General features: G+C 41.6%; 1 long non-coding RNA gene across 1 annotated transcript; it reads left to right on the forward strand.

The window, feature by feature from the left end:
• LOC105375044 (uncharacterized) lies at positions 4-23,819 on the forward strand. Its single transcript, XR_926767.4, has 3 exons — positions 4-93; positions 14,028-14,276; positions 23,643-23,819. It is a non-coding gene; the product is annotated as an uncharacterized LOC105375044 (long non-coding RNA).
• Positions 23,820-25,306: the final 1,487 nt, after the last annotated feature.

Genomic DNA, 25,306 nt, shown 5'->3' on the forward strand with positions numbered 1-25,306 from the left:
CAGCCTTGACTCTCAGTTTCCTCTCTCAGTAAATGGGCATAATAATACCGGTCCAGCCTACGCTGGAGAATTGTGAGGTGAAAATGAAATAAGGTATGCAAAGGTACTTTGTAAGTATAAAGCCCATTTGACTTGGTGGCTCAAGCCTGTAATCCCAGCACTTTGGGAGGCCGAGGTGGGCGGATCGCTTGAGCTCAGGAGTTCGACACCAGCCTGGGTAACATAGTGAAACCCCGTCTCTACAAAAAAGACAAAAACTAAATGGGCATGTTGGCGCGCGCCTGTAGTCACAAATGCTCGGGGGGCTGAGGTGGGAGGATCGCTTGAACCTGGGGAGTTCAAGATTGCAGTGAACCGTGATCGCGCCGCTGCACTCCAGCCTCTGCAGTGAGAGCAAGACACTGTCTCAAAAAAATGTATTTATCTATCTACATAGATAAGAGTCCTAGAAATCCGGGTGCAGGTCTGACTGTAGCTGGTGTAGGAAAGTCAGTTATCCCCGACGCTGGAGCAAGCTAGGGGACCGCCCTTGCAGTTGTTGGAGGAGACAAATTGGGAAGGACTTAATTCCGGGCAAAGGAAGCTTCATGAGTAAAAGTAGAAAGTGAAAATGGTCAGGAAAAGCAAGGCTTGGGGCAGGGAGACCCATTTTTAGGCCATTGCAGTACTCCAGACAAGTGATAAGAACATTAAACAAGGCATTGGCAGTGGGAATAGAGGAGGGGATAGATGTTAGCGCCATTAAGGTGGTAGAATTCACAGCACTGAGTGCGGATAAATGAGTAGGCCAGGTTTCTAGCATGAGTGCTGAGGTAGACAGTGGTAACATTTAGCAAGATGGCAAGCTACATGAGTCTTGATTATCCACAAGTGTCTAAGTTACTATTATAGATAGTGATGGTGACATTTCTTAGGAGGATGACCAGATATGTGGAGTATGATGATGAGTTCAAATATGGATATGTTTGTTAGGGAAACATTTACTCTCCATTCACAATGTCTTTCTTCCATATGGAATGATATCCATTAGTGTAATACTCTCCTGGTTTCTCTTATACCTGTCTGCAACTCACTCTTGCCTAGAGGAGTGACTTCCTGATTGGTGAACTTAAATGGGAGAAACTGGACATGTGGCATCTATCCCATTCTTTTTCTCTTAAAAGATAACTATCTTCAGGGAACTGTCCTGGTGTTCTTTTCCGTTTCTTCTGGAGCAGGGCCTGTGGGTAGGGACAAGGGTGCCTAGTCCAGGGCTACAAAGAGAGTATATGTATTTAATTCCAGAGTTTGGCATTAGGAAGCTGTCTGTCCACAGATAATATTTAATACCAGCTTTGTCAGCTGTGTTACACAGAATAATGATCCCCCCCAACCAAAAAAAAAAGGATGACCACACCCTAATACTCAGAACCCATGAATATGTTATATTATGTGGCAAAAGGGACTTTGCAGATATGATTAAATGATGTATCTAGGGAGATTATCCTGGATTGTCTGACTGGGCTGGAGGCAGGAGGGTCAGAGTCAGAGAAGGAGATGTGATGATGGAAGCAGAGGTCAGACAGAGATTTGAAGATGCTATACTGTTGGCTTTGAAGATGGACCCAAGAAACGCAAGCAAATTGTAGATGCGGGAGAAGGCAAGGAAATGGATTCTTCTCTAGCACCCTAAGAACACAGCCCTGCCAACACCTTGATTTTAGGACTTCTGACTTCTAGAACTGCGAGATAAGAAACTTGTATGTTTTAAGGTACCAAGTTTGTGCTAACTTGTTACAACAGCAATAGGAAACTGATACAGTCAGTAATAAAGATAATAGTTGGTTTCCTGCAGCTTTCTCCATTACCTGGAAAAGAAGGGTACAATTCAGTAGGTCCCCTCAGAGACTATAGCAATATGACTGTGACCTGATGGAACCTCCACATCTAGAGAAAAATGTCCAATAAACACTCAAACTGTACAGGTCTATGAATGAGGAAAGAGGTTGAGTTAAAATAGATTTGGAAGAAATAAATTAATAATTGGTAATTTAAGCCCGAGGCATGGATGAGATCAATCAGGGAGAAAATACAGAAGACATAATAAGGAGAGGCAAGGATAGGGCCCCTGGAGAGCACTAACTTTAAAAGGAGGTGCAGATGATCAGAAGCCCAAAAAGAAGTCTGAGGAAGAATGGCCAGAGAGAGAAAAGGAGAACTAGGTGAGCCTAATGCCTCTGAAGCCAAGCAAGCAAGATGGAGAGGGGTCAACAGAGTCAGAGACCACAAAAAGGCCAAGTATATCAAGAACTGGAAAGCATTCACTGGATTTAGCAACAGAAAAGTGATTGGTAACCAACAATAGCAAACTTCAGTGGGATAGTGGAGATAGATACCAAATCACTGAGATCTGAAAGGCAGATCAATATAGTGGATTGGCCTCTAGACTAGTTTGATGGGAGTTTTGAGATTCTAGTCTTGATTCTGGCCATTAACTAGCTAGATAACTTTGAACAAATCCCTCAACTACTCCAGGCTTTGGTTTTCGCATCTGGCAAAGGATGAGATCAAGCTGAGTCTATGATTTTCTCATTAATTCCTAGATAATCCCCCCAGTTTTATTTTTTTATTTTTTGTCATATCTGATTCAATACTTTTATTTATTTTTATTTTTTATTTTTGAGACAGCATCTTGCTCTGTTGCCCAGTGTGGAGTGCAGTGGTACAATCTTGGCTCACTGCAGCCTCAACCCCCGGGCTCAATCACCCCAATTTCATATCAGACTCACTTGCTTATAACAGCACACTTCAAATCCTTCTCAGACCATTTTCCAACCACTAAGAATCAGTATATTTCATGCCAGCTTCTGTCCTAGATACTATGGCTATAACACAGTTTTCAAGGAACTCACAATTTGGAGAGAGAGAGAGAAATACTAAGTATGTAACTAGCTGTCATAGTTCTTTAAAAAAAAAAAAAGAAAAAAAAGTAAGGCCAGGCGCGGTGGCTTATGCCTGTAATCCTAGCACTTTGGGAGGCCGAGGCGGGTAGATCACCTGAGGTCAAGAGTTTGAGATCAGCCTGACCAATATGATGAAAACCCGTCTCTACTGAAAATACAAAAATTAGCCGGGCATGGTGGCATATGCCATCATCCCAGCTACTCAGGAGGCTGAGACAGGAGAATCACTTGAATCCGGGAGGCAGAGGTTGTGTAGAGCCAAGATCTCGCCATTGGACTCCAGCCTGGGCAACAAGAGCAAAACTCTGTCTCAAAAAAAAAATTAAAATAAGTAAATAAATAAAAATAAAAAATAATAAGATAGACCTGATTGTGGTGGCTCATGCCCCGTAATCCCAGTGCTTTGGAAGGCCAAAATGGGAAGATCACCTGAGGCCAGGAGTTTGAGACCAGCCTGGGCAATATAGCCAGACACCCATCTCTACAAAAATTTTCTAAAAATTAGCCAGGTGTGGTGGTGCGCACCTGCAGTTCTAACTACTTGGGAGGCTGAGGCAAGAGGATTGGGTGAGCCCAGGAGTTTGAGGTTACAGTGAGCTATTACCAGATTACAGTGAGCTATGACTGTGCCAGTGCACTTCAGCCTGGGCAACAGAGCAAGACCCTAAAAGCTAGATATAAATATATTGTAAGTATAATACAATATACTATAACAGAATCTGTATGAAGTGAAATGAGGGATATATAAAGTGATACAGATAAGGGCGCAGTTAGCTCTATCTAATGGAAGTCAAGAGTGTTGTACTTACCTACACTGTTAAGTAAACACAGTATGCCTCAAAAATGGACACAAATATATTAAGGCATTTCCATGGAGGTAAAAAAAGAACAGGAGAATTGTGCTAAACCAGCGTTGTCACCTAACATTCCTTCTAGGTAGTTTTGTTGTGATCTAAATGAATATTTATATATAACTGTTTCTAAACTAAAATTGGTTAGTTGTTAAAATGGACACAAATAAAAGTTAAATGCAAGAATAATTTATATTTTTCCAGTAGATTCAAGAGGAAATATTTTTTGTCACTAATGCCATGCTTTAATACATTTGCTTGTCTAATCCTCATGTATTATCTTACTTAATTTTGTAAACATTAGCTTATTGTATAGATCACTGACAAAGTATCTGTTTTAGCAGATAGGGACAAAGTTTAAATAATTTGGCCAAGGTCATAGTAGACCAAGATTTGGACCCAGCACAAGCATCCTCTTTCCAGGAAACCTTCCCTCAGGCCCTTAGTTGGTTTAAGTGCCCTCTCTCTGTACTATTAGCATATGCACACACATTCATTTTAGCGTTGACTTTAATAATAAGGATGTTTACCATGTACCAGATACATAGTACTTGCACCTATGTTATCTATGTTTAAGTGTTTTGTAGGCATTAGTTCATTTAAGCCTCATAACTGCCCTTTGAAGTAGGTGATATTATTCACAATATTTTATAAAACAGGAAGCCAAGGCATAGAAAGTTAAGTAATTACTCAAGGTACAATTAATAAGTGATAAAGCTAGGATTCGAATCCATGCTTTTAACCCCCCAGGCTTCATACTATGTACCCTTTCCCTTATACTGAGGAATTCTAGAAGGCATAGTTGACAGGTTGTTGTGTGTGATATCACTCTGTGTTCCTCATATGAACACAAGAGAATTTTCTCTCTGAGCCACAAGTCATGAAATATTTGGCTACCCTTGAGTAACTGATGTGTTTTCTCTTTATAGGCAATGTGAATTATATAACTGCCTGTTTTTCACTTTTCACTTTGCCAAGAAGCTCTGAGTAAATTTGTTGGCTCAGCGTTTGTAAGTGGGTGAATTGGCCTGCATATCTGTATTCTGTTGCTTTGAAATTTTTAAAAATAAATAGTTGAGAGAAAAATAATGTAAATTTTCTTTATTTTCCAAATTGTTGACAATGTACAATGATAATTTTTATAATTAGAAAAATAAACTTTGTTCTTAAAAGAACGTTTGAAGCTTCAAATGATTTCTCATGCTTTGACTCTGTGAATAAGAGCTGGTTTCAGGTTAAGTTGCATGAGTTAAATATAGAATCCAGGTTCATATAAAACCAAGACTTCTGTATGACCTGGAAAGTCCAGATCAATAGAATTGTTCAGACGGATCAAAAAGTATTTTAGGTAGCATAAAATAGTTGTAGCCCTTCTTGTTTTTAACTTATGTTTAAGTAATTTGAAACCACTTTTAGGTTATTTGGACACATGCTCCCTCGCTTTAGAAATCAAAAAACCCATTATCTTCCTATATGCTGATGATATTTTATTATAATAAACTTTATGGCTGATTTTGTTGCTCACCGTTTATCAGAAGGAATGGATCAAGATCACCTGTTCCAAAACTAAAATAATTTTTTAGGGCACATGTCCTCAAATTTAATTGGCTTAGATCCAGTAACTAAATACCACGTTAATTTATTTACTTAAGGGTATGTTTTGCAAGTAATTCTTCCAGGTAGATTTACTGGCCAGCCACTTTGCTAAAAGCCATACATTTCATGGGAGCATTAATTAGATTTTCCTACCGTCAGAGTGAGCAACTGATCATTTCTTCTTTGAAAAATTTCAATCCAAATTTTGATCATTCTCCAACAGAGCATTCTAATGCCTAAATGGCCTAGGCAGGTGGGTAAGTACTCTATACTCAGCCCAGCAGATTGTTGCTATGTGGTATAAGCATCCAAAGTTGCCAGATTTGAAATCTGTTGACCTCTAAATATTGGTAACTAATGGGAATTTTTTTTAAAGAAAAGAAAAACATGACTTGTCTGTGAGTTCGCAGACCTCTTGCTCTATTGGATGGAACTTGATGGTCTTGAACACTTATTTTTTTTATTTTTGAAGTGTTGTTTTTTTAAGGAAAATCCTAGATTGCCTGCAGGGGCTCTCTCTATTCACTACCATATGGAGAGGAATGTTCCTATTTAGGTGAGAATCTTAATAGGGTGACTCACTCTTCACAAAAGGCTGTCAGCCCTCTACCATCTGCTTTTTAGATTACTGAATTCTAAACAGTATGTATCTGCCTTTAGTCAGCCACACAATATTAGCTGGTCCATCAGGACACTGCATACCTGACCATATTGTCCTGAGCACACACACAGAAACTTTCCTCATCCACCACCAAGAGTGTTTTCATGGCTTGTATTTTGAGTATTGTGTCTTCTGCATATGTTAAGCAATTCTGGAAGAGACAACTCCACAGAGCCCACCAGTGCATTGTGTGGGCAAATAGGCAAAGCTTCCCCTCTGCCCTCTGAAGCTGTGCTGAAAATGAACTGACAATATGCAGATTAGGAGAAAAGGGTATGCAAATTTATTAACGTGCATAAGCACAGGGGAATCACAGGAGAATGATTATCCAGTAACACAACGAGGTCCAGATGCTTATATACCCTTAATAAGAGAAGGAGAGATGGGGGAGATGTGGTAATTTTAAGGGACAGTAAGTTATTTTTAGGAGGAATAAATGGCTCCAATGCTCAGGCAATGGTTAGTAAATGATTCTCTTTGGGAATTGAGTGGGAAGGGAAAGTGGATGATAGTTTGGGACAAAGTTTGGGCTCTACATGTGGTGTTTAATTTTCAGTCTCTTCCTCTGATGTGAGGTTTAATCTCTAGTTAATTTCAGGGAGGGAATCAAAGGCAATTGTGTTCCTCTTTGATGGGTCCAATTTATAGGTATATAAGGGAACTAAAGAGAAGAGCCTCATCCTGAGCTTTAGGAGAGATAAGATTGGAGATGGGATGTGGGTGAAGAGGTGTCAGATTTTGAAGCTGCTTCTTTAGTACTTCAAAGTGCCATATATTGGGGTATCATCTTCTAAGCTCCAATAGCTTTTACTATAGGATTGTTACTGTGCACTTGATCACATGAGAATTTTCTTTCAGAGCCAGGTATCATGAAGAGCTTGGCTACTCTTGAATAACTGATGTGTCTTGCTTACAGCAAGTGAATTGCATAGCTGGATATGTGTTCCTTTTCACCTTAGCTGCCATGAAGCTCTGAGTCAAAGTGTGGCTCCATTTTAGTGCCTGAGTAGAAACCTGTGGTCTGTATATCTGCATTCTAATTTGTTTTCTACTGGTACTGAACCTTGTACTTAAGTTTGGGTTTTCTCCTTCTCTGGTTTATCTATAATTTCCTTTTGCGACGGAATCTCACTCTATTGCCTGGGCTGGCTGGAGTGCAATGGCGAATCTCAGCTCACTGCAACCTCCGCCTGCCGGGTTCACGCAGTTCTCCTGCCTCAGCCTCCCAAGTAGCTGGGATTACAGGTGCATACCACCACGCCTGGCTAATTTTTTGTATTTTTAGTAGAGATGGGGTTTCACTATGTTGGCCAGACTGGTCTTGAACTCCTGACCTCATGATCCACCCACCTCGGCATCCCAAAGTGCTGGGATTATAAGGGTGAGCCACTGCACCCAGCCGGCTTACCTATAATTTTCTACATTCTGTTTGTAATTTCACTAGCCACTTCAAGTTGTTTGTGAAAAAACTAGGAAAATGAATGGTAAATACACTTATGATGACTATCTTATTCCTAGTCCCTTTCCCTCACTTCAGGTAAAAGTTAAAACTTATACACCTGGCCAGGCACAGTGACTCATACCTGTAATCCCAGGACTTTGGGAGGCCAAGGCAGGCAGATCAACTTGAGGCCAGGAGTTTGAGACCAGCCTGGCCAACATGGTGAAACCCCGTCTCTACTAAAAATACAAAAATGAGACAGGCATGGTGGTGTGTACCTGTAATCCCAGCTACTTGGGAGGCTGAGGCACGAGAATTGCTTGAGCCTGGGAAGCAGAGGATGCAGTGAGCTGAGATTGTGCCACTGCATTCCAGCCTGGGTGACACAGCGAGACTCTTCTCAAAAAAAAAAAAAAAAAAAAAAAAAAAACGTATACACCCTTCTCTGCTAAGAGTATATCTTGTTTATGAGTTCTCTAGCATTTTACATAAGATAAATAGAGCTAAAACGATGAATTGTCTTTTAATGTTATTGCAGCTCTGCAGCATGTCATTCTCTTAACTTTGCTTTTTTTTTTTTTTTCCTGAGGGAGATGGATAGGTGAAGTAATGGTTGACAAGCATAAGTGGGAAGCTTCAAGTCCCAGGTTCTCCCATCAAATCATTTTCTCACAATCTTGCTCAGTATTCTCTTCTAGTAGGCCAGAATTTGAAGGATTAGCTCTCTGTATATCTAATCTAAATCCTACTCCTTGTTTTAAACTCTTTGATTTCAAATATTAATGATCTGGTACTATTCACTAGTGTATCTATTTCCACATACTTTCTTTAACTGAAGGTACATGGAAGATTCTAAGCAGGATTCATTGTTGTCTTAATACATCTTTTATATTTGCTAAGTTGAAGGCAGAAAGGTAACTGAGTGCTATGACTATTCTTAGGCATTGTCATCAACACCAATGTGTCTATGATTTAATATTTTAATACTGTACTTACCTTGAGAACTGGACAGTAAAGTTGCTTTGTAAATGTAAGGTAAACATTTCAAATATACTATAATCTTTGTAGTCATATTTTGTATTTTTTCATTGCTTAATATACCCTGAGCCAAAAACAAAAAAAATAGCCTAGGCTATTTTCTACTTCAATTTTCATTTACTTGGCTACTTTGTGCCAGGCACAGAGGGGATACAGAGATGGAGGATATCGTTTCTGATCTAAAGGAGCTAACAGTCTAGAACTGCACTGTCCAGTATGGTAGCCTCTAATCACATGTGGCCATTTTAATTTAAATTAAAAATCCAGTTTCTCGGTCATACTAGCCATATTTCAAGAAGCCAATAGTGGGCGGGCACTGTGGCTCACACCTGTAATCCCAGCACTTTGAGAAGCCGAGGCCGTAGAATTGCTTGAGCCCAGGAGTTCGAGATAAGCCTGGCAAAATAGTGAAACCCCATGTCTGCAAACATAAATAAATAAATAAATAAATAATAGCGGGGCACGGTAGTGTATGCCTCTAGTCCATGCTACTTAGAAGGCTGAGGCAGGAGAATCGCTTGAGCCCAGGAATTTGAGGCTGCAGTGAGCCAAGATCTCACCATTGCACTCCAGCCCAACCAACAGAGGGAGACCCCATCTCAAAAAAAAAAAAAAGAAAAAAAATTGTCAATAGCTACTGTATTGGACAGTGCATGTATACAACATTTCTATTATTGCAGAAAGTACTTTTGGATTGTGTTGGTCTAAAACTCATATAAGACTCAGACATGCAAAGTAGGGCAAGGCAATTTCAGACAGAAAGATCGTGTGTGAAGTATGCATAAGAATGACTTGGGGGGCATGTTGATTCCTGCTGCCAGATATTCTCATTTAAGGGGTAGCAGGAGAGCCTGTGTTTTTAACAAATACCCCAGGTGATTCTGATGCGGAAGGTGTGTGGACTACACAGAAAAATCATGTAGGGTAAGTGGCAATCGCCTAATAGAATGATTCTGAACTTCCTACTTAAATGGCATCTGGTGCTTGAGCCAATCTAATTTTGACTTAGCCAGATAAGAGTGCAGTGAATACATTTGTACCTCAAGTGTTGTAGAGCATTTTGTACTCTTTAGGTGTCTAAAGACATATCAAAGGTTATAGGTGTCTTGAATTTGTCATGTACATTTTGAATACTTTAAAAGGATGTGTTTAGGTCAGGATAGGCTAGGTTATGCAACAGTAAAAACCCCAAAAACATCAATGTATTTTTCCAAAAGGGAAAGAGAGAACTCTAGAGGATCTCACACTACCAAGAGTCCAGAAAAGACAGACATCACTTCTCACAAGTCATGTCAAAACTCAACACAGAACCAACCCTAAGGAAGCCAGAAAGTGCAGTCCTACCATGTGTTCAAAAGAGAAACAGAACCAGATAAGGGTGAGCAGCACCTATGATTACCACGTGATGGTAAAGGAAATAATGGTGATCGTGCTGCAAGACAGATGAGACTTCCAGACACACATAGTGGTGGTGAGTGGCAGAGATGTGTAGGACTAGGATGAGTTTTAGAGAAATTCTTGACTGAGAGAAAGAAGCCAGCATGAAATGACGAAGAACTGAAAGTTGAGTTAGAGTGTTTTGTAGACAAACACCGTTGACTACCTCTCTCTTTAAGACAAAGGCTTGATCCTGAAAGGGATCTTAATCTAAGGTTTTGGGTTTTGTTTTGAGACAGGGTCTTGCTGTGTCACCCAGGTCAGAGTGCAGTAGTGCAATCACAGCTCACTGCAACCTCAACCCTCTGGGCTCAAGCAATCCTCCTGCCTCAGCCTCCCGAGTAGCTGGGGCTGCAGGCATGCACCACTGTGCCCAGCTAATTTCTTTTAAATTATTATTTGTAGAGATGAAGTCTCGTTCTGTTGCCCAAGCTGGTCTGGAACTCCTGGGCTCAAGCAATCCTCCTGCCTCTGCCTCCCAAAGTGCTGAGATGATAGGCATGAGCCACCATGCCCAGCCTGAAGCTTTGGGTTCTTGAGAGGATGATGTAAAATATTATGATATAGGCAAAGGGACACATCTGTAAGCTGACAGTGCTATGTCAGAGAAGGATCAAAGAGCCAGCAGTCTCAGAAGAGTCCTGCTTCTGTCTAATCTGGGGAGAAGACTGTTCAGTCCAATGCTACCTGAAGGGCCCCGGGCAGTAGACCCTGGTGTAGAAGGAGAAAAGTAGCTCCAGGAGAAGCCATTTAATTCCACTGATAGCAGGAGTCAGCTATTCTGGATTTTGGTGGTTTTGTTTTGTTTTGTTTTGTTGTGTTTTGGTCTTGGTTTACTTTCTTCAAGCTATTGAATGCCCCTATATATGACTATGATTTTTCTAATGTCTGCACACATCAGTGTGTGTATCTAAACTGTATAACTCATAAATATTCAGTGACTCACCTTGTAAAAGGATTTCAGTCTCTTGCTCTAGTGAAGCAAGATCATGTGAACACTAATCTTGACCAGCGAAATGTAAATGAAACTAATGTGTATTAGTTCTAGCTGAAGTTTTTATGCTCTCTGTTCCTCTGCCAAGATGACCAACAGTGTTCCAGAAAAAAAACTGCCATTGATTTTAGCTGAGACCCTCAGAGGCCTGTGTAGTGTGAGGAGAAATAAATCTTTGTTGTTGTAAGCCACTGATTTCGGGGATCATTGTTACTGTAGCATAACCCAGCCCATACTAACTGATATTATGTGGATTCTGTCACCATCTGTGCAGAGTAGGCCATTGAGATACATCAGGCAATGATGGATTAGAATGAAAAATAAAGGAGAAATGTATGTTCCAAAATACTGTTTTATAATGATAAAAAGCCAAATGAAGAAGATATAATTGGGCCAGGCATGGTGGTTCATGCCTGTAAACCCAGCACTTTGGAAGGCCAAGGTGGGCAGATCACCTGAGGTCAGGAGTTGGAGACCAGCCTGGCCAACATGGAGAAACCCTGTCTCTACTAAAAATACAAAAATTAGCCAGGCGTGGTGGCACGCGCCTGTAATCCCAGCTACTTGGGAGGCTCAGGCCGGAGAATCGCTTGAACCCAGGAGGTGGAGGTTTCAGTGAGCCAAGATCACGCTATTGCACTCCAGCCTGAGCAACAAGAGTGAAACTCCGACTCAAAAAAATATATATATAGTTGTTATAAATCTCTATACATCAAGCAGTTTAGTAGCAAACTACATAAGGCAAAACCTTTTAAAAAATACAAGGAGATTTTCATAAAACTATAATTTTATTAGAAGGCTTAATACGTGTTTCTAAACTTTGATGTACCAAATGACTAATAATAATAACAAGGCTATGGAGGATTTTAATTAAACCCTCAACGAGCTTGATATAATAGTTTTGAATAGAACTTAGTATCTTATAATAGAAAATACAACTATTCTTGTCCAAGGAACATTCACAAAAATCAATCATACACTTGTTCACAAAGAAAATTTTAAAATGGTAAACTTCAAAAAGAAGAAATGATACAGTGTATGTTCTCTAGCCACAATGAAATTAGAACTAATATTAAAAGATTGCAAAATAAAAATTATCTTGAGATAGAGGAAATATAAATTGCAATTATTTTCTTTTAACTTTTAGGTTTGGGGTGCATGTGCAGGTTTGTTCCATGGGTAAACTTGTCTCACAGGGGTTTGTTGTACAGATTATTTCATCACCCAGGTATTAAGCCCAACACCCAATAGTTATCTTTTCTGGTCCTATTTTTTTTAATTACAGAAGAATAGCAATGGGCACTTTACATATCAAAAGCTGTCTTGTGTAACCAAAACTATTCTCAGAGGAAAAAAATAATAAATTAACTTTTGAGACCAAGCATGGTGGCTCACACCTGTAATCCCAGCACTTTGGGAGGCCGAGGCTGGTGGATCACCTGAGGTCAGGAGTTCGAGACCAGCCTGGCCAACACGGTGAAACCCTGTCTCTACTAAAAATACAAAAAAAAAAAAAAAATCAGCCGGCGTGGTGGCACATGCCTGTATCCCAACTATTTGGGAGGCTGAGGCACGAGAATCATTTGAACCCAGGAGGCAGAGGTTGCAGTCAGCCAAGATCGTGCCACTGCACTCCAGCCTGGGCAACAGAGGGAGACTCCATTTCAAAAAAAAGTACTTTTGAGATTTAAAAAAAAAATTGTAAATAAGTGAATTAATCATTCCACTTAGAAAAAAGAAGGGAGGTCGGACACAGTGGCTCATGCCTGTAATCCCAGCACTTTGGGAGGCCGAGGCGGGCGGATCACCTGAGCTCAGGAGTTCAAGACCAGCCTGGACAACATGTTGAAACCCCGTCTCTACTAAAAATACAAAAAATTAGCCGAGCGTGGTGGTTCATTCCTGTAATCCCAGCTACTCAGGAGGCTGAGGCAGGAGAATTGCTTGAACCCAGGAGGCGGAGGTTGCAGTGAGCCAAGATCGCGCCACTGCACTCCAGCCTGGGTGGCAGAGCGAGACTTTGTCTCAAAAAAAAAAAAAAAGAAGAAGGGAAACTGAGAAACTGGGGATGGAGGTGGATATAGAAGTGTACCAGTTAGTTATGGCTACAAAAATGCTGCATAACGAACACACACAATCTCAGTGGTATACAGCGATAAGCATTTATTTCTTGCTCATGCTGATCAGCTAAGATCCCTGTGCTTCAACTGTGGAACACTCTGGAGTCCAGGTGGGAAGGGCAGTGGCTCACTGGAGCATGGTTTTCTCATGGTGACGGCAGCAGTGCAAGAGCACAAGCCTGACCACAGAAACATGTCGGGTCTCTGCCCAGGTCACATCTGCTAACATCCTCAGATCCTACCACTCTCTTTCTCACTCACTCCACTGTAATTGCTTTGGCCTCTTTGCTCTTCCTGCTGCTCTCCCTGTGCCACCACGCCAGCTGATTTTTTTTTTTTTTTTTTGTATTTTTAGTAGAGACAGAGTGCCCTCCCCTAGCACATTCATTCCCATGGCTCACTACCTCACTTCAGGTTTCAGCGTCAATGTCTTTTGTCAATGAGGTCTTTTCTGACCAACCTGTATAAAATAGCAACTTTACCTGTATTCCACCTTTCTCCATAGCAGCAACTATCAACAGCAACTTATATCTACACACATACATGTATACTTGTTTATTTATTGGCTTCTCCACTAGAATGTAAGCTCTGTGAATTTAGCACTTTGATTTGCTCACTGCTGTTTCCCCAGCACCTTTAGCAGTAACTGGCAAATAGTAGAACCTAAATAAAAATGTATTAAATGAAGAAGTGAGAAACCATTTCATACCAATCAGATTGCAAAAAGTAAAGTTTGATCCCTCCTGTTGTTAAGTTTGTGGAGCAACTTAACTCTTCAACACTGCTAGTAGACATGTATAGTACAATAGTATTATCAGTGTTTCAGAGACTGCTCATTTACTTCCAATATCAGTTTTCCCTTTCTTCCTTAGTAATAGAATCCACTATTTTTTGTAGAGCATTTAACCACCCAGAATAAAGATGACACATCCCAGTCTCTCTTGCAGCTAGGTGTGATCAGGTGACTAAGTGCTGGCCAACAGTATATACTTGGAAGTCTTTCTTCTCCTCTTCTCCCTTCTTGCTGGCTGGAATGTGTATGTGATGAGTGAAGTTTGAACATCCATATTGCACTACAAGATGAAGACCGCATGCTAAAAATGGTGGAGCAGCAAGACGGAAGTCTCCTGTATCCCTGATGATTTTGTGAAGCCACCACTCCACCCTTGCACTGCCTAGCTCTGGATTTATTTTATGTAAGTGAGAAATGTTTTGCTATTTTTAAACCCGCTATTATTTTGGGCTTAGTATCACTTGCAACTAAACCTAATCTTAATAGATAAATCACTTTGGAGAATAATTTGACATATCTAATGAAGTTGAAGATGGCATGTGCCAGGACCCAGAAATTTCACTCCTAGGTGTAACTCCTAGATGTAACCCTAGATATAGTTCTCCCAGCTGGGCACAGTGGCTCACGCCTATAATCCCAGCACTTTGGGAGGCTGAGGCAGGCGGATCACCTGAGGTCGGGAGTTCGAGACCAGCCTGACTAACATGGAGAAACCCCATCTCTACTAAAAATACAAAATTAGCCGGGCGTGGTGGTGCATGCCTGTAATCCCACCTACTCGGGAGGCTGAGGCCAGAGAATCGCTTGAACCCAGGTGGTAGAAGTTGCAGGGTGAGCCGAGATCACACCATTGCACTCCAGCCTGGGCAACAAGAGTGAAACTCTTTCTCAAAAAAAAGAAAAAAAAAAAAGAAATAGTTCTCCCATATCTATTCATGGAGACATGTACAAGCATATTCATAGTAGTGTTGCTTCTAATAAGAAAAATATGAAAGGCCGGGTGCGGTGGCTCATGCCTGTAATCCCAACACTTTGGGAGGCTGAGGCAGGCGGATTACCTGAGGTCAGGAGTTCGAGACCAGCCTGGCCAACAAGGTGAAACTCCGTCTCTACTAAAAATACAAAAATTAGCCGGGCGTGGTGGCACATGCCTGTAATCCCAGCTACTCAGGAGGCTGAGGCAGGAGAATTGCTTGAGCCTGGGAGAAGGAGGTTGCAGTGAGGCAAGATCATGCCACTGCACTCCAGCCTGGCCGGCAGCACGAGACTGTCTCAAAAAAAAAAAAAAAGAAAGTCTTTAATATCTAGAAACAGAAGAATGGATAAATAGTGGTATTTACAAATAAATATTTACAAAAAACAGTATACAACAGGGGATATGAATTAACTAGCATATACATATCAACACAGATTAGCTGTATATTATATTTTTGCATACGTTTTTTAAAAAGCAAAAGAATATTACATATTGCTAAGAAGAGAACACTCTTCATCTTGCTCCTAACCAAAAGTGTTCCTCCTGGCTGGGCGCTGTGGCTCACGCCTGTTATCCTAGCTCTTCAGGAGGCTGAGGTGGGCTGATCGCTTGAGTCCAGGAGTTTGAGACCAGCCTGGGCAATATGGTGAAACCTCACCTTCACTAAAAAGACAAAACATTAGCCAGGTATGGTGGCATGTGCCTGTACTCCCAGATACTGGGGAGGCTGAGGTGGGAGGATCACCTGAATTTGGGAAGTCAAGGCTGCAGTGAGCAGAGATTATGCCACTGCACTCCAGCCTGGACGACAAGAGTGAGATCCTGTCTCAAAAAACAAAACAAAACAAAAGTGTTCCTCTTACTCGTTTTTTTCCCCCATTTATAATTGTTTCCTTAAAACAGGATCTCACTCTGTCGCCCAGACTGGAGTGCAGTGGCACGATCTCGGCTCACATCAACCTCCACCTCCGAGGCTCAAGCGATTCTCTTGCCTCAGCCTCCCGAGTAGCTGGGATTACAGGCATGCACCCCTACCACCTGGCTAATTTTTATATTTTTAGTAGAGACAGGGTTTCACCATGCTGGCCAGGCTGATCTTGAACTCCTGATCTCAAATGATCCACCTGCCTCGGCCTCCCAAAGTGCTAGGATTACAGGCGTGAGCCACCGCACTCTATCAACCTTTTGTTTTTAATTGAAGTCTAACATATATACAGTAAAGTGTACAAATAATCATTATGCAGCTTCTTGGATTTTCACAAAGCAAGCCCAGGTCAAAAAATAGAACATCGCCAGCACCCCAGATAGCCCCTATTATTATTATTTTATTTTTATTTTTATTTTTACTTGTTGAGACAGGGTCTTGCTATGTCACCCAGGCTGGAGTGCATTGATGTGATCATGGCTTACTGCAGGCTTAACCTCTCAGGCCCAAGTAATCTTCCTATCGCAGCCTCCCAAGTAGCTAGGACCACAGGCATACACCACCAAGCCCAGCTAATTTTTAAATTTTTTTGTAGAGATGAGGTCTCACTATGTCGCCCAGGCTGGTCTCCAACTCCTGGGCTCAAGGGGTTCTCCTGCCTCGGCCTTGCAAAGTGTTGAGATTACAGCCATAAACCACTGCACCTGGCCTTACCAGTTAGCCCCTATGATACTGAAGAAAAGGATTTTGTTCAGTCACTGGAGGAGAGTCGCTCTCTCTGTGTCTCCTGCCAGATGAAAATCAAGAAGCATCTATCCTAATTGTAACTAACAGCCATCCTTAAACCAAGAGGAATACCAGCTGTAGGATGAAAAAAACAATACTGAAGGTCAGAGTAAGGAGACAGAAAGAGCCTGACACCTTTTGATGACATTATTGTTTGAACTGTGTCAACCAAAACTGAAATGTACTTTCCCTCTGTACCCCAGTTACATGAGCTTTTAGTTTCATTATTAAATCTGATTGAATTGATTTTTCTGTTTCTTGCAGCCAAAAGCATTCAATGTGATACAAACAGGTTAAAATCTATCATTATTTTATTTCATTGATTTAGGTCAGAACTTGAAATAGCTAACATGTCTTTCTTTTTAATTCTATTCAAAATTCACCAAGCCAGATATTGTTTTCTTTCATTTGATGACTATTATTAGAGAAATAATAATAGATAATGCTGTTTATTACATGCCCGAAACTATTCTAAGCATTTTTACATCTATTAACTAATTTCACGTCTTCAGCAATCCCGTGAAATATAGAATATTATGGTGATTACACCATTATACAGATGAGGTTTAACCAACCCCAGCCCATTTCAAGAAAGGAAAATATGAGAATACTCTAGTACATTACAGTACAGTAGCCACTAGCCACCAACTGCGGCTATTGAGCACTTGAAATGTGGTCTAAGTATAGTGCTGTATGCACCAGATTTCAAAGACTTTGTATAAATAATAGAGTATAAAATATCTCGTTAATAAGTATATCATATTGACTATCCATTGAAATATATATATATATTTTTTGTTGTTGTTGTTTTTGAGATGGAGTCTCGCTCTGTTGCCCAGGCTTGAGTGCAGTGGTGAGATCTTGGCTCACTGCAACCTCCGCCTCCCAGGCTCATATGATTCTCCTGCCTCAGCCTCCCGAGTAACTGGGACTACAGGAATGCACCAGCACACCCAGCTAATGTTTGTATTTTTAGTAGAGATGGAGTTTCACCATGTTGGCCAGGCTGATCTTGAACTCCTGACCTCAGTGATCCGCCCACCTCGGCCTCCCAAAGTGCTAGGATTACAGGTGTAAGCCACCGTGCCTAACCTATTAAAACTATTTTTGATAGATTCTGTTAAAGCATATTAAATTAATTTTACTTTTTTCTTTTAAGAGACAGGGTCTCATCGGGCCTCCCAGCTGAAGTACAGTGGCACAATCATAGCTCACTGCAGCCTTGACCTCCTGGGCTCCAGTGATCTTCCCACCTCAGTCTCCAAAGTAGCTGGGGCTACAGGTGTGCACCACCACTTCTGGATAATTTTTTTTTTAATTTTATGTAGAGATAAGGTCTTGCTATGTTGCCTATGCTGGTCACAAACTCTTGACCTCAAGTGATCCTCTCACCCTGGCCTCTCAGAGTGCTGGGATCACAGGCAGGAGCTACCACGCTCGGCCTACTTGTTTCTTTTTATATTTTTATGTGGCTCCTAGAAAAGATGTTTAATTCTACATGTGGCTTGTGTTACCTTTCTATTAGACAGTGCTACTCCAGTGTGGTGGTCCTCACAGTGTGGTCCTGGACCAGCAGCATCAGCATCACTTAGCAACTTGTTGGAAATGCAAGTTTCTGCTAAATCAGAAACTCTGAGTAGAGATCTACTACTTTCTGAATCAGAAACTCTTGGAGTGAGGCCCAGGAATCTGTGTAACAAGCCGTTCCTGTGATTCTTTTTTCCCCCCTAGCAACTGTGAGATGTAAGTTGCCTGTTTAAAATGTGTAGTTTAGTGGTTTTTAGTATTTCAGAGAGTTGTGCAAACATCACCACAAAAAGCAATCTCATTCCTGCTGTCAGTATTCCTCATTCCCCCATACCACCATCCCCATCCCCAGGCAACACCTAATCTGCTTTCTGTCTCTACAGATTTGCCTATTCTAGACATTTCATAGAAAATGGAATCATACACCATGCAGTCCTTTGTGGCATCTTTCACTAAGCGTAATGTTTTCCTCTGTAAATTCTTATATGCTGAAGTCTGAGAACTGCTGTCCTAGGGTAGAAGTGGAAAGGAAGTAGTCAGAGAGAGTGTGAAAAACCAAGAGTATGAAAAAAGAAGAATGCCCCGATCATGAGATAGAGAAAAGAAATGACACCAGAAGGACATTAACAGCAAAAGGTAAAAAGCAGTTTTTTCCATGTGGGAAAATAAGCTACCAGCCTTGCTCCCAAAGTCCAGGAAGACTGACACTGAGGCCAAATATAATTATATATTATATTCATGTTTTGCTCTGCCTATATTATAGCTTTAATCTTTTTATCTCCTTAAATAATAATCAAACAGATGATAGTTAAAGCCATGAGAGTAGGTGAAACTGTCCCAGGAGGAAGATATTACAGAAAAGAAAAGGCTACTGCTGAGGACAGAATATTGGAGGAATGTCTTTCATTCCTATGTTGCAGTTTTCAAAATGGTTCATGCCCACTTTCTCCCTTGAATCTATCCGTAACCCTGTTAGGAAGTAAAGTGAGTATCACTATCTGGACTCCTTATTTAAGACGTGATTTCTCACACGGATATAATTTGCTCAGGGTGTCATGTTGAGTGGTTGAGTTGAGGTTTCTTCTCCACTCAGTATTTCTCATCTGTATTTAAAGGGAAGAGGAAGAAATGGAGACAGAAGGGCCGGTCAGGAAGGTAGGAGTAGAACTAGGTGGGTACAGTTTCATGGAAGCAAAGGGAGGAGTGTTTCAAGGAAGGCCATCTTGTTTGCTCCCTTGAATTAAAAAAAAAAATTCTTCTAATGAACAGAGTGTGTTCTTTGTTGAGTGACCAATCATACTGTGCAGTAAAGAGGTATCGACGTGAACAACCCGGGGAGAACATGCTTTCTCTTGGTTCTAACCTACAAAGTCCTCCTCTTGGCATTAGTTTTCCATTTATCATAGGTCTCTTAAAAAAAAAACAACTTTTGTTTTTAATTGAAGTCTAACAGACATAGAATGAGGTACACAAATAATTATATAGCTTATTGGATTTTCGCAATCCAGGTCAAGAAATAGAACATGACCAGCACTCCAGAAAACCCCTATTCTCTCTCCCAGTTACTATCTTTCTCTCTTCCCCAAATATAGCTGTTTTCCTGACTTCCAAATATAATGGATTATTTTGAGAAGAGGGCATGCCAGAGTGGATGGTCTATGTGTGGCCAGAAAACCTATCAGTTGACTGTGTCCCTCAGAAATGCCTGTAAGACATTTCATTTACCAAAACAATAAAGAGTGCCAGTGATGGCACTGGTGTCATTGGAAACTCAGTGGTTGCTCTGTACTCCAGAGCTGATGGCAAAACATGCTGTTGCAGAACTGAGCTGCCTGACAGTAATGGGGATGAAAGGTCTTGTAATAATAGAGGGCATGCACTTAGCCTTCAGAAATAAGGTGAGTGCAATTATTATAATGAGCAGCAAGGTCAGGGTGGCAGTGGTGAGGAGAGGAGGATCATCTGGAGAGAGCTATGGAGAAGATTAATAGAATATGGATTCCCTAGGGGGAAGTAGATGGACAGCAAAAAAAAGTATTGCTCAATCTATAAACCTGTGAATTATGTCAAGTAAAATAAATGTATTACTCAATCTGTACAATCAAAAGAAATCAAAGATAGATAATGAAAAAATGAAAAGGCTAGTGCCATTGACCCAATATTTTAAAAAATCACAACTTCTTGCCTAGTTCCCAAGCATGAGCCTGTTTTCAGACCCAGAATCTACTGACTGAGTGAGAGGCCAGGTTAACAGAAAGAATGACCCTGCAACACCATAGAAGTCATATCAGTCACGACTTCCCCCCAATCATTCCCCAGAGGAACTACAGTCATTTACTAGGGTAGCCATACGTTGGTGAAAGAGGAATACTCAGTATTTTGAAGACTGTTGGACACAAGGCTCAAGTTGTCATTGATACCTGGGAACCCGAAGCATCATCATGGCCCCTGGGGCTTAAGGGAGTCAGATAATAAATGGAGTCCTGGCCCAGGGCCAGTTCACATACCCAGCCAGTGGTCATTTCACTCATCTTCTGCTATATAATTGGAACCCACTTTATAGTTGACAGAACACCCATGTTGTTTCCTTGAACTGGGGGGTAAGAGCTATCCTAGTGGCGTAGGTTATGTAGAAATTTCTGCAACATACCCCACTCTGGCCAAAATAATAAATAAAAAATCAGTATCAGATCCTGGGAGGAATGGCAAAAATTAATACCAGCCTTAAAGATGTAAGGGATGCATGGGTGGTGAACCCCGTCTTATCTCCATATAATTCAGCAGTCTGGCCTACATAAACACCAAGTCGATCCTGTAAGATAACTGTGTTCTACTGCAAGTTCCACAAGTAGTTGCCCAGTTACAGATGCCCTACCAGATGTGGAATCTTTGTTTAAGCAGATTAACACAGCTTCAGTTATACATTGTGAAGCCATTTGATCTAAATGTATTTTTCCAGAGGACTAGAAGCTAGTTTGCATGTTCATGGGATGGACAAGATGATACATTTACTATCTTGTTCTGAGGCTATGGTGACTTTCGCCCTGTGTCATAGTTTGAAGTGATCCGGACCACCTGGACATTCTGTAGAATACCACATTAATTCACTCTATCAATGACACTATGATCACTGAATTAGATGAGCAAGAAATGGCAAATATATTTAAGGTCTTTGTAAGACACAGGAACACTAAGAAGCATGAATAAAACACACAAAGATTTAGGGACCCAACATATCACTGATGGTTTTAGGAATTCCAGGGTCTATGGTATGACAGGTCATCCCCTCCAAGGCAGAGGAGAGGCTGGGCACAGTGGCTCACACATGTAACCCCAACACTTTGGGAGGCTGAGGTGGGCAGATTGCTTGAGCCCAGGAGTTTGAAAACAGCCTGGGTAACATGGTGAGACCCTGTCTCTACAAAAAATACAAAAATTAGCCGGGTGTGGTGGCTTGCACCTGCAGCCCCAGCTACTTGGGAGGCAGAGGTGGGAGGATTGCTTGAGCCTGCAAGATCAAGGCTGCAGTGAGCCATGATTGTGCCATGGCACTCCAGCCTGGGTGACAGAGTAAGACCCTGTCTCAAAAACAAACTAACAAAAAATGACAACAATAACAACAATGGAAAAAACAAAGCATATCTCATACTTGGGGATACTGCTCTGACTCATTTATTGAGTACCTCACAAGGCTGCCAGCTGAGTTCAGGCCAAAGTAGGAACAGGCAATGCTGCAGGTAAGGGCGGCAGCCCCACTGCCTCCTAATGATAAGGATCACTTACTTCTTTCAGAATGGTGATTCTTCTTGTTGCTTGAAGTAGCAGGGCAGCAATCATAGCTTAAAAATTAATAGTACTCATTATATTGGTTCCCTTTGGGAACCAGGACCTCTAGACAAGCAGAGCCCAGAGTTGTGGGGCTGGGAAGTACACAGGCCCTGAGTGGATAACTGGGAGCAATGTTGAAAAGGGGGTTACTCGTGTTTCCAACCCTTGGTTTCTGAACCCATGTATAATACCTTTTGGGAATATGGCACTAATAATGATCATTTATTTAGGGTATTTAATGTGTCCTGGAGGATAGCACCTCATCATCACAGAGTATGGTCTCCAAGATGGCACCTCAGCTGTACCTTGAAAAGACCAGCAGCTTCTGGGTGGTGCAGCATGTGGTAGGCCTAGTGGATCCCATGGTCATGTACGCATTACCATTAGGTTGGGGCAAAGGTAATTGCGGTTTTTTCCATTGAAAGTAATGGCAAAAACCTTAATTACCTTTGCACCAAGCTAATACATCTTCTTTTTGTAAAATGGGCCTCTCGGTCTAATGAGACATTGTGTAAAATCTTGTGTTGCTAAGGATCAAAAACTCTCTAGGCCCTTGGACACTCATGCTAGCTGAGGTCCCGTGGTCAGAAAGGTAAGCACATACCCAGAATACATGCTGATTCCAGTCAAGATGCATTACTGCCCCTAACAGATGGAGATGGCTCAATGAAATCAACCTGCCACCAAGTCGCTGATTGTTTTCCTCAAGGTACGGTGTCATAGCAGGGGCTCAGCACTGGTCTCTGCTGCTGACAGGTCGGCAGAGTTGAGTGGCAGTAGCTTGGAAAGTGAGAGCCAATGCTATGGGACCCATGAATGGCTTTCGTCTCTGCCACTGTGACCAGTTCATTTGTGTTGTCCAAAACTGATGGCTTATGACAGAGGTTGGCTGGTGTGAACTGGCCAGGTTATCTGTCTTCTTGGTTGTTTAATGCATCTTCTATGGTGGATGCACAGTGGCCAGTTAGTAATACGCTTAGCATTCTTCAGTCTTAGTATCCATTTAGGTCTTGGTATTCCTATGCTCAATTTTGATGGCAAATGGACAAATGTAGGAACCCTGGCTTGCCTTGGAGAGACATGGTGCCAGGGGCTTGACCCTCCAGAAATGACAGTCTGGATCACTCCATCAGGTGAGCTATGCAGACTAGTGTAGATGTTAGCCAAGGACGAAGAGAATCTATAGTGGCAGTAGAAGAGATAGATGATGTGTATCGGTTGTGGTCACAAAATCAGCTGCAGAAGTAAGGTCAGTAGTTAATTCCATTTAACCTTTCCCTTACAGTAAGTTTCTCTAGAAAAAAAGATCAATCAGAATCCTAGAGGAATGGCTTCCAGATAGATTAAACTTATTATATAAAGTAAGGATCTGAGTGGTGCAAGGGGTACACTCTATTGTTGGCTGTGGTGAGCTTTCCAGATCTCTGTTTCAGGACCAAGATACCCACTCCTGCAACTACTGGAAGTGTTGCCTGCTGATAGCTTATAACTGAGTCTTTCCCCAGGAATTTTCCTTAGTGGAAGAGAGCTGCATCATCCAAGGTTAGATTCCCTTGTTTGCATCTAATGACTGTTTAGCATAGGGGTACACACGCCAAGGATGGTCCCCTTGCCTCAAACTGCAGTCTCTCTAAAAGGCCATTGGAATTGGCTGAGACCTCTGTTGCAACTGCATTACAGTTAAATCTCTCCTTCTGCTCAATTGTGCTTGCTTTATTTCCTTACAGGTGTTGTTCCTGAAAGCACTCCCCCATAAAACACCTGCATGTGAATCTCCATCTTGAAGCCTGTTTCCTGGGAACCTGCCTATAGCATTGTCCTTTACCTATTTCTCTGCAGTGCTACCTTTGTTTTATTTTTATTTATTTATTTATTTATTTATTTTGAGATAGGGTCTCACTCTGTCACCCAGGCTGGATGCAGTGGTGTGGTATCAGCTCACTGCAACCTGCACCTCCCAAGTTCAAGTGATTCTCGTGCCTTAGCCTTCCGAGTAGCTGAGGCTACAGGCTTGTGCCACCACTCCAGCTAATTTTGTATTTTTAGTAGAGACAGGGTTTCGCTGTGTTGGCCAGGCGGGTCTCAAACTCCTGGACTCAAGTGATCCACCTGCCTCGGCCTCCCAAAGTGCTGGGCTTACAGGCGTGAGCTGCCATGCCTGGACTGCCTTGTTTTAAATCTTTGTTGTACACAGATTATATGAAGATCTGTTCCTGAACTTTATATTCTGTCCCTTTGATCTATTTGTCAATACCACCCTGCCTTAATTATTGTAATGTCATGATAAGTCTTGATATCTGGCAGAGAAAGTTATCCAATTTGCTTGATCAGTTCCAATTTGCAGATCAGATGTGATCCAATTTGCTTTGATCAGACCAAAAGGACTATTTTGGTCCTTTGCATTTCCATATACATTTTAGAATCAGCTTGTTAGTTCCCATAAAAATCTTTCTGTAAGTTTGATTGGAATTTCATTCAGTCTAAAGATAGATTTTTGGAGAATTTACCTCCTGTTAACTTCCAATTTATAAAAATGATATGTCCCTCCATTCCTTTAGGTCTTTAATTTCTGTCATTACAGTTTTACAGTTCTGTAGTTTATAGAGGTCTTGCACATCTTGTTAGATTTATTCCTAGGTATTTGACATTTAGATGCTGTTTTAAATTGATTTTTTTTTTTTTTGAGATGGAGTCTTGCTGTGTTGCTCAGGCTGGAGTGCAGTGGTGTGATCTCGGCTCACTGCAACCTCCACCTCCTGGGTTCAAGCGATTTTTCTGCCTCAGCCTCTGAGGTAGCTGGGATTACAGGTACGTTCCACCATGCCCAGCTAATTTTTGTATTTTTAGTAGAGATGGGGGTTTCACCATATTGGCCAGGCTGGTCTCGAACTCCTGACCTCAAGTGAGGAGGCGGTCTTGCCTCGGCCTCCCAAAGTGCTGGGATTACAGGTGTGAGCCACCATGCCTGGCCATGGAATTATTTTTAATTTTTTTTATTTTGAGAAGGAGTCTTGCTCTGTTGCTCAGGCTGGAGTGCAGTGGGGTGATCTTGGCTCACTGCAACCTTCGCCTCCTGAGTTCAAGTGATTCTGTCTCAGCCTCCTTTGTAGCTGGGATTATAGACATGCGCCACCATGCCCAGCTAATTTTTGTAGTTATAGTAGAGATGGGGTTTCACCATGTTGGCCAGGCTGGTCTCGAACCCCTGACCTTGGGTGATCTGCCCACCTCGGCCTCCCAAAGTGCTGGGATTACAGGCATCAGCCACCGCACCCGGCCAGAAATTATTTTTAAAATGTTATTGTCTAATCGTTTATCACTGTTTTATTGAAATGCAATAGATTTTTGGCTGGGGAGGTGGCTCATGCCTGTAATCTCAGCACTTTGGGAG

The sequence above is a fragment of the Homo sapiens genome, chromosome 6, assembly GCF_000001405.40.
Source record: "Homo sapiens chromosome 6, GRCh38.p14 Primary Assembly".
In the NCBI taxonomy this organism is placed as follows: Eukaryota; Metazoa; Chordata; class Mammalia; order Primates; family Hominidae; genus Homo; species Homo sapiens.